The sequence below is a fragment of the Homo sapiens genome, chromosome 9 (genome assembly GCF_000001405.40).
Source record: "Homo sapiens chromosome 9, GRCh38.p14 Primary Assembly".
Lineage (NCBI taxonomy): Eukaryota > Metazoa > Chordata > Mammalia > Primates > Hominidae > Homo > Homo sapiens.
The window spans coordinates 102,492,933-102,503,363 of record NC_000009.12 but is presented as its reverse complement, the minus strand read 5'-3'; positions in this window follow the sequence as shown (position 1 = coordinate 102,503,363).

The window sequence follows — 10,431 nt, the reverse complement described above, 5'->3', positions numbered from 1 at the left end:
GTTTTTTGAGTTTTATGCAGAATTCCCAGGAAGTTTTGCTAACTTGTTGTCTTATACCAGAAACCTCCTTTGCTCATAACTTCCTTTTCTGTATAATAGTTTTGCTTTAAATGCAATAATTTGGATCAGAATTTATTCATGTCATCACTATTGACATTTTGCAACAGATATTTTTTCTTTCTCTTTCTCTCTCTCTCTCTGCAAGGCTTTTTAATGGAATGTAAAACATTTACTGTCATCCCTGGTAAACATAAACTAAATGACATAGCACTCCCTATCTCCCTGTTGTGACAACCAACAGAGCCCCAAGACATTGTCAAATGTTCTCCAGGGGGCCAAATTGTACTGTTTCAGAACCACTGACTCTGATATAGACATCTGCTCCCTGCTGAATTTCTTTCAAAGTTTCTATTTTTACACACACACAAAATATTTAATGAGGATCATAAGTTATATAAAAATACTGTAAGGGTGACAGTGAGAGGCTCATAGTACATTCCTTGCCGAACAATGGAAAGGTTACCTCTTTGCCATTGTTTTGCTCCCAAGTCCTTTTTGTGCCGCTCTCTGCCTCAGAGAGAAGTCATCTCTTCCCTGCTTCTCCTATGTAAAATTCCATGCTGCTGGTCCTTTCTTTCCTCTCTCCAAGTTCCCATCTTCCCTCCAACAGTTTAAACTCTTCTTGCTTTGTATCATATAGAGCAACTGGGCTTTCCGTACTCCTTACTTCAGCCTAACACATAACTCATCTGGAGGAGTGGAGATGTCCTGCTTTTAACATAGTTCTTCCACCTGCTAGAAAAAGCATTTGGAGTTATGTGTCATAAAACAACACACCTTTGTTTTTAATCATACCACAGCTTATTCTCTTTATTAAGGTTTTCTGATTTTTAAAATGTATTTTCTAGCTTTTCACTGAAATTGCTTTTGATCGACCTTTCCATATTTTTAAAAGCAAATAATACAGTCACTTATATTGATTACATGTTTATATTTGCATTTGTATGTATATTTGTGTGTATTATTTTCTCATGTTAGGAAGACATAACACAGTTATAATTCTAGTGGGATTTTTTTTTTTTTTTTTGAGATGGAGTCTTGTTCTGTAACCCAGGCTGGAGTGCAGTGGCACCATCTCTGCTCACTGCAAACTCCGCCCTTCCAGGTTCACGCCATTCTCCCGCCTCTGCCTCCTGAGAAGCTGGGACTACAGGCACCCGCCACCATGGTGGCTAATTTTTTGTATTTTTAGTAGAGATGGGGTTTCACCGTGTTAGCCAGGATGGTCTTGATCTTCTGACCTTGTGATCCACCTGCCTTGGCCTCCCAAAGTGCTGGGATTACAGGCGTGAGCCACCGCGCCCGGCCAGTTTTTTTTATTTTTTTTTATTTTTTTTTTTATTAAGAGTATAAAATGCTGAAGTTAAGCACTGCATCATTTCCTTACCATATTTTCACACATTGTACTGCTGATTAAATTAATAAGCCCTGGCTCAGGACACACAGCCTTCTCCCACCCAGGTGGTGATGCTTTACCAGAACAGGCAGCTCTTTTATTTGCCTTTTTTGTTTTGTTTTGTTTACTATATCAACAGCTTCTCCATTATCTCCCTTCTTCACAGAACGTATACTTTAAGCCACATCCTTCTTTCAGTTCTTCCTTGATTTCAGTAGAATTCTCTGTTTTAAAACATTTCTTCACAGATTCTAGCATCTCTCATTCTTTGATATGACATTTCAGAATAACAGTGATGAAAAGATAATATTTAAAGTGTAAGGACAAAAAACACACTTATTTTATAAATCAGGGATACTCAGATCAATAGTTACTAAGTCATAATAACATAAATACAGAAAGTAAATTCAAGCTAAATTAAAATATAATTATTTTTTAATGATTGTTTGATAAAAATGGCACTGGCTATGACTGCCAAGTCCTCATTGCCTACTGTAAGAAGTCAAATTAAATGTTTATAATTAATAAATCACCAAATAATAATACAGGTAGTATTCTAAAACATAATGGTCAATAATAAATAGAACAGCAAACAGATTCCTAAAGTTCAAGCTCAAACATATAGCTAATTGTTACACTTAATAAACAGATAAGGAAATAGCCTACCATAAGTAAGAGTGTGCGTGTGCGTGTGTGCGTGTGTTACAGCTTCTCTTAAGAAGCTATGAAAAAAAGCATAAGATGTACACAGAGTGCAGATAGTGAACAATTAAGAAATAGTATGCAAGACCAATATATTTAAGTTTGAAGTGTATGAAGAAATGAAATATCAAAATGACATAATATTTTAAAGGAAATAATGCAATCACTAAAATATAAAATTCAATTATGCATTCAATGATAGAAAAGCTACATTTACGAGAAAAGTAGTAAATTTTGAGAGGGGTATGAGGTGGTAAGAGTGCATTATAAAATAAATTTTAAAAAAAGAATACAGCTCAGAGAGACAGATTCTGAAACTATGAGAGAAGTGAAGATAAATTGATTACCAAAGGAGAAGCACTAACACTATTTAATTGAATATGTAACCAGAGAAAGAATAGAATGAGGATGAAAGAAACAATCTGAGACTGCTTTCAGAATTGGCTAGAAACCATCCTCTGCTTTAAGGAGCACAATGAATTCTTAAAATTATTTATTTTATTTATTTATTTATTTATTTATTTATTTATTTATTTTTAGACAGATCTTGCTTTGTTGCCCAGGCTGGAGTGCAGTGGCACAACTTTGGCTCACTGAAACCTCTGCCTCCTGGGTACAAGTGATTCTCCTGCCTCAGCCTCCCAGGTATCTGGGATTATAGGCAGGCACCACCATGCCCAGCTAATTTTTGTATTTTTAGTAGAGATGGGGTTTCTCCAGGCTGGCTAGGCTGGTCTCGAACTCCTGACCTCAGGTGATCTGCCCCCCCCCCCCCCCCCACCCCTCGGCCTCCCAAAGTGCTGGGATTGCAGGCGTGAGCCACTGTGCCTGGCCTTAAAATTCTTAAATCTATTTCTAGTGACATCATCATGAACCAAAGTATAAAAAAGCAAAAGAGAAAACTTCAAAGCAATTGCAACACTGAAAACAAAAAGACATTCTGCCTTCTTCAGAAAGCTAACTGTACGTGATTTTTCAATTACAATTGTGTAACAACAGCAAAAAAATCCTTTCAAGAGTGAAAGATGTATTCTGGGAAGTCAGCAGTGATGGTAAGGTTTAAGATTTTCCAGTTAACTCTTTTTTTTTTTGAGACAGAGTCTTGCTCTCTTGTTGCCCAGGCTGGAGTGCAGTGGTGCGATCTCAGCTCACCGCAACCTCTACCTTCTGGTTTCAAGATTCTCCTACCTCAGCCTCCTGAGTAGCTGGGACTACAGGCATGCACCACCACACCTGGCTAATTTTGTATTTTTTTTTAGTAGAGATGGGGTTTCTCCATGTTGGTCAGGCTGGTCTCAAACTCCCGACTTCAGTGATCTGCCTGCCTCTGCCTCCCAAAGTGCTGGGATTACAGGTGTGAGCCACCATGCCTGGCCCCACTTAACTCTTAATGAGTTTGCAACAGTCTGGGGCTGCATAAAAGTCAACCAAGCTGTTGTACTTGCAGGTGATATCATACAGCCAGGCCCTGCTGAGCTCTACAGCTTTCTCTGATGTTCTGCAGTCCAGGGTCACAGGACACAACACTCCAGACCACACTGACTGCTTTTGTTGAGTTTCTACTTCACTTTTGATGACTAATCTACTTCCTGTTAGCATCTGACAGGTCTCAAAAAGAACAGTATTAATCTGGTGGGAAGTGTGTGGGAGCAGGAAGCTACCTCTAGAAGAAACGTTATCATAATTCTCAAGCTTATTTCTCCAACAAAAAAAAGTTTGATTAACTTTGAAAGTGAAAAAATGTGAGGCAACTGTAATCATAAATCCAATCAGTTCTTACCAATCTGGCTTTCCCCCCAACCCACAATAATTACGCATACCATTATCATGTTGTTCAGTATTATGAAACTACTGGTTAACCTGGCCTATTGGAATACTTAACTACAAATAGAAGCCTCTAGGTATCTTTTTCTCTTCAAGTGTGAAATATTTCATCTACATTTTGAATGTCTGCAAAGAAAACTCTTTTCGGGGCAATTCTAAGGGTCTGGTTGTTGGAAGCATCAAATATTTGAAAGGAATAAGAAGGCTTTGACTTCATAATTGTATTTGTAGCTTTGTGGACCCAGCATGATATTTAACACCATGATGTTGCAACAATCACTGTTTTTACTGAGCAGTGACTGGTGAAATGTATGTTGCTTTTTGTTTTGTGTTTCAGTTATTTTTCTACCAATAGTTACATGAAGTTTCTTTTTTTTTCCTTTACTTGTTTATTAAATACATGACAAAGTTGAGAAGCACATTACCAGGATAAATTGTACTGACCCTCCTGTCTCTCTTCTTCACTAATTAATTTTTGGTTTGGTTAGAAGACAGGAGGGTCTTAAGATCACTGTGATTATCATGAGTTAGGTTTGTAAATGTCATGGTGAAAAAATATTAATATCTCAAAACGTCTATTTTTAAAATTGATCTCATGGCTTAACAAGCCCACTTAGTGGAATATTTTCCACCATTATTTAACCACTAATGATTCTGAAAGTATTTTATATCCACATGATCTTAGACCTTCTCTTAATGATTGTATAAACTTACAAACGCAAGACTATCTTGGAGGACACTGAATATTGATGTGTGTAGCAAAGTATTTACTTTCTTTAAATAACCAGCTCGGTGATAGTTCTCTATGTTTCTAGCAGTCTGTGTAATTCTGTTTCTTCAGAGGAATATTTTTCACATTGATACAGGAGAGAGGCAGGGAAGTGCTGAGTAGAGAAGGGCAGGGTGCCTGGCAAGGGTTCCACCCTCTGGCCTGGGCCCATGGACCTAAGTGAGGACAGGCACTCTTGCTTTCATGCCTAAATGTTACATTTTCCAAAACCACTCTGGCCTGCCATGCCCCCCATCCTGTGCCTATACAAACCCGGAGACCCTAGTGGACACACACACAAGTGGCTGGATGTCGAGAGGAACACACTGGCAGAAGAACACACCAACAGACACCTGCAGGCCATTGACTGGAACAATGTGGACACCGATTGAAATTCAGCCAAGGGTGGTGGGAGGAGATCCCAGCCACTGAGAGGCCCAACTCCAGGGGAAGACTGCCTTCCCACTCCATCCCCCTTCTGGCTCCCCATTAGTCTGCTGAGAGCTACTTCCACCACTCAATAAAACTTTGCACTCATTCTCTAAGCCCACGTGTGATCCGATTTTTCTGGTACACTAGAGCAAGAACCCCGGGATAAAGAAACACTTCTTTCCTTGCAATAAGGCAGAGGCTCTAAATGAGCTGATTAGCATAAGCTGCCTGCAGATGGCTAAGCTGAAAGAGGACACTGTAACACACGCCCACTGGGGTTTCGAGAGCTGTAACATTCAGCCCTAAATGCTGCCATGGGGTCGGAGCCCATGGTCCTCAAGACCCGCCCGCCTACATGCTGCCCTTAGGGGCTGGAGCTGTGGGGCACTGAAACAGCCAGTCACAGCCCCATCACATGCCCGGCAAGGGGGTAAGGGAACTTTTCTTGTTTCAACATTTCTTTTTTATTTTTGTTTTTAGGGTGATAAGATATCTTTCTTTCTGTACCCCTTTTCTCCTAAAATCAATGCAGGTGAGGTGGGTGAGTAAGGAGTGTTATTTTTAAATAGCCTGTTAGGTATACTTGGGTGAGTGGGACGGTTGTAAGTATATTTTTATGAATCTTGCTTAATACTGATCATTAGCTCTCAAGCCCAGTCAGCAAAATGCTTTCATTTTTAACTGTAGAACAATGACCCAGCTGAATTTTTATTTTTTCTATTTAAGAAAAGTAAGCACAGAATTAGGAGTATTAAAATGGGCATGTGGCCTCATGTTAAAATGACTAAATCTCCTAATTTGTAGTTGTCCAAGACAGTCAAGATAAGAGGGAACATGCACTATCAGATTAACTCTCCTTGGACACAGCAACCGTGCTACAAGCCAGTCTGCCCTGTTGACTGACATATTTCTGTTTTTGTGTGTGCTAAGTTCCCTCGTACTTGTTTCCATTGTACTGACTGCCTTTGACACTTGTAAATAGGAAATTGCTGTAATAATGTTAATCCCATCAATTCAGTGAATGGGTGGAAGGAAGATTTTCCCCCAAACCTTTAGGCAAAAGTTGGTTTTAGTTTGTTTTTCTCTTTTGGCTTTCACTTGAATCTGAAATGTTACCATTGCGGGCCACATTTGACATGTGACAGGCAAGGAGCAGGTGAACAATCAATGGAAAAGTGTTGTGTTTTTTTTTTTTTTTTTAAATACTCCTGTGTTAGCTAACAGACTTCTGACCACGTCACTGCCGTTCACAGAGAAGGCTGAAGAAGGTAGCGAGCAGATGCTGTATCAGCTACTACAGCCTTAAAACAAAGTTGGTGTCTCTTTGGATTTTAAAATTGTTCCTGTGCTGCTTATTTTATTTCTGTTTAACCAAGTAAACAGGATAATTTTTCCATAGAGAAGAAAAAAAATGATTTCCTACTTAAAGAAAGGGAATTAGATTAAATCAATCACAACAGGACTATGAGTTTCCAAAATACAACTATAGAAAAAAGTACCAGTACTCACAAGCCATGCACATGTCCATGTGAGAAGAAGCAGAGGACTGCCACCAGCCCCCAAGGGACCTAAGAACAAGAGGAGAACAGAAATCAACAGGTGTTCACTGAAAACAGTGACAGGTTACAGTGATAGGCACTGATCTCATCACAATGAAAGATGGGGAAAAAGTATCAATTAAAGTAAGGAAGAAAATACTACAAGAGATATATAGGTGTTATCGACATGAGAATAATAGATTTTATCTAAGTGGAAAGTGTAACAATAAAATAAAGTGTTAAAAAGAGATGTTCTAGGAAAATTCTTATGAAAGACAAGAGAAGTCAACCTTACAGATCAAATGATGTAAATATGAATATTGCCCAGGAATAACTGCCCTTGAGTCAGTTTTGAAGTGGCATCATTATCGAATGTGAATCATTAAGAAAGAAATGTACAGGCATCCAGCAGAATGAGAAACTTGTATAACAACGGGATTATCAGAAATACATTCATGAACAATTAATTCTGGAAACCAATAAAGCCAGGTTTAAAAATGTATGAGGAAAGGGTATATGAACATTATTCTCAATCAAATTTTCCAAGTGTCAAGACTGTGAGACAGCATTTGGAAATATTGCAACTCACGTGTTTCCATATTGAGAAAAAAATAGTAGAGTGTAAAACTCAGCTAACAAACTGTGTTATCAAAGCAAAAACATCAGAAGTAGAATAGCTGTGGAAAAGAGACAGAAAAGATCATGTAAGTTTCAACACTGTGAAGATGTTAATTTTTGCAAAGTATATCTCTAAATTTAATGTATTCTCAAACTACCAACAGACATCAGTGTGTTCACGTGTGTCTTGAGACACATGAAATAGAAAATGCTATTTTTTCTCTTTTTTATGGTAGTTGCGTTATTCATAACAGCTAAATACTTGAACCAACAAAAATATTCGTCAACTGATAAATGACTAAATAAATGTGGTATATCCATACAATGGAATATTATTCAGATATAAAAATGAATTAATACTAATACATGCTACAATATGAATAAACATTGAAAACATTATGTTAAGTGAATGAAGCCAGACATAGAAGGCCACATATTGCATAATTCCATTTTATAGGAAATGTTCCAAATAGGCAAATCTGTAAAGAATAAGCCTACTATTGGTTTCCAGGGACTGGGGGTGAAAAATGACTGCTTATGGATACAGAGAGTTTTTGGGAAGTTGATGAAAATGTTTGGGAATTAGATGGGTGATGGTTGCACAAGTTTGTTAATTTACTATAAACCACTGAATTATCCACCTTAAAATGGTGATTTCTATGGTATAATAGTTATATCTCAATTTTAAAGTTGTATAAGATTTAAAAAGTCCTAGATTAATTCAGTATGAGCAGATAAATGAGAAGAAAGGGGATAGAAAGGAGAATAAAATTGGCTGGCCATTCTTGATTTTACATTTAATTTTGTGTTTTTAAAAACCATGTTGCAATATGGAACAAATGTTTTAATGATTTCTGCCTAATGAGCCTACCAAAAAGCAGGCAATGGAAAATATTCTGAAGTTTTTAAAGTATTCTGATATTTGCTTGTGATATTTGCAAATTTCTGTACATTTTATGTTATGGCTATATATAAAGCAAGACTTAGAAGATCCTTGAATGCTATTTTCTTTCTTATTATTTTTTGAGACAGAGTCTCACTCTATTGCCCAGCCTTGAGTTCAGTGGTGCAATCTCAGCTCACTTCAACCTCTGCCTTCCAGGTTCAAGCAATTCTCCTGCCTCAGCCTCCCGAGTTGCTGTGACCATGGGTGCGTCTAGTTTTTGTATTTTTTAGCAGAGACGGGGTTTCACCATGTTGTCCAGGCTGGTCTCAAACTCCTGGTCTCAAATGATTCACTCCCCTTGGCCGCCCAAAGTGCTGGGATTAAAAACTTGAACCAGCGTGCCCAGCCTTGAATGCTATTTTCTTATAATATCTGTCGATACTGAATTGTTTGTTTAGTAGGAAATATTTGACGAGAATGATGTAAATAATTTTTCATTGCTTATTCTCTTTCATATTCCCCTGTTGATAATATGGTTATTTTTGAATTAAAGTGATATTTGTTCTGTAAAGCAAATGTGGAAATACAAAAATAGAAGGAAAAATAAATATAAAAGTGTACCACCAACACAACAGAAATCCATCTTACCCCCTACTACAGAAAGAAATGCATATACATATATGATATCTTATAACTTCTCATTGTTTATTAACTAGAATTTTTTACACATCCTTTTCATGAATCAGTAAGTATTCTCTTCCAATCTGGTTTTAAAGGCTGTATAGAGCCTAGCCCAATGGATTATGAATAAATTATGTAAACTAATTATTTGCTGTAGGCATTAAGATTGCCTTCAATCTTCTAATATTAATATATGTATAGAGTGGTTCTTTATGCACATTTCTTTGTATAGATATATTATTACATAAAGTTGCATTCCATGCATTCTCCACTATGAAGAACAGTTTGGAGGTTCCTCACAAAACTAAAAATAGAGCTACCATATGATCCAGCAATACAACCATTGGTTGTATACCCAAAAGAAAGGAAATCAGTGTATAGAAGAGATACCTGCACTCCCATATTTCATGCATCACTGTTCACAATAACTAAGATTTGGAAGCAACCTAAGTGTCCATCAACAGATGAATGGATAAAGAAAGTGTGGTACAATACACAATGAAGTACTATTCAGTCATAAAAAAAGAGATCCAGTTATTTGCAACAACATGGATGTAATGTGAGATCATTATATAAAGTGAAATAAGCCAGGCACAGAAAGACAAACATCACACGTTCTCACATATTTGTGGGATCTAAAAATCAAAACAAGTGAACTCATGGACATAGACAGTAGAAGGATGGTTACCAGAGGCTGAGAAGAGTCATGGAGGGACAGAGCGTGAAGGGGGAGGTGTGGATGTTTAATGAGTTAAAAATAATAGAAAGAACAAACAAGTCCTACTATTTGATAGCACAATAGAGTGACCATAGTCAATAATAATTTAATTGTATATTTAAAAATAACTAAAAAGCATAACTGTATTGTTTGTATCAAAAAAGTAAGTGCTTGAGAGGATGGATACCCCATTCTCCATGATGTGATTATTTCACATTGCATACTTGCATCAAAACATCACATGTACCACATAGTACCCCATAGATATATACACAGAATATGTACCCACAAAAATTAAAAATAAAGGTATACTCTATAAGTGGAATTTTTTTCTTAAAGTCAAGCAACCTCATTATCTAGGGTGACACCCGAGGTTCTTTGTCTTATAGCCACAGAGACCAAGGCTGAATTATATCTCCCCAAAATTCACATATTAAAGTCCTAACCCTCAGTAGCTCAAAATGTGACTATGTTTAGGGATAAGCTCTTCAAAGTGCAGGTTAATTTGAAATGAAGCCATTAGGTTGGGCACAAATCGAATCTGACTGGTATCCTTAAAAAGGGAGGAAATTTGGACACACAGGGAGACATGAAGGTGCCTGCATCCAGATGAAAGGTCATGTTAGGACACAATGAGCAGGTGGTCATCTGCAAGCCAAACAGAGACCCCAGGAGACATCAAAACTGCCAACACCCTGCCCTCAGACCTCTAGCATCCAGAATTATAATAAAATAAATTCTGTTTTTTTAAGTCACCATGCTGTGGTATTTTGTTATAGCAGCCCTAGCAAATTAACTATTACATTT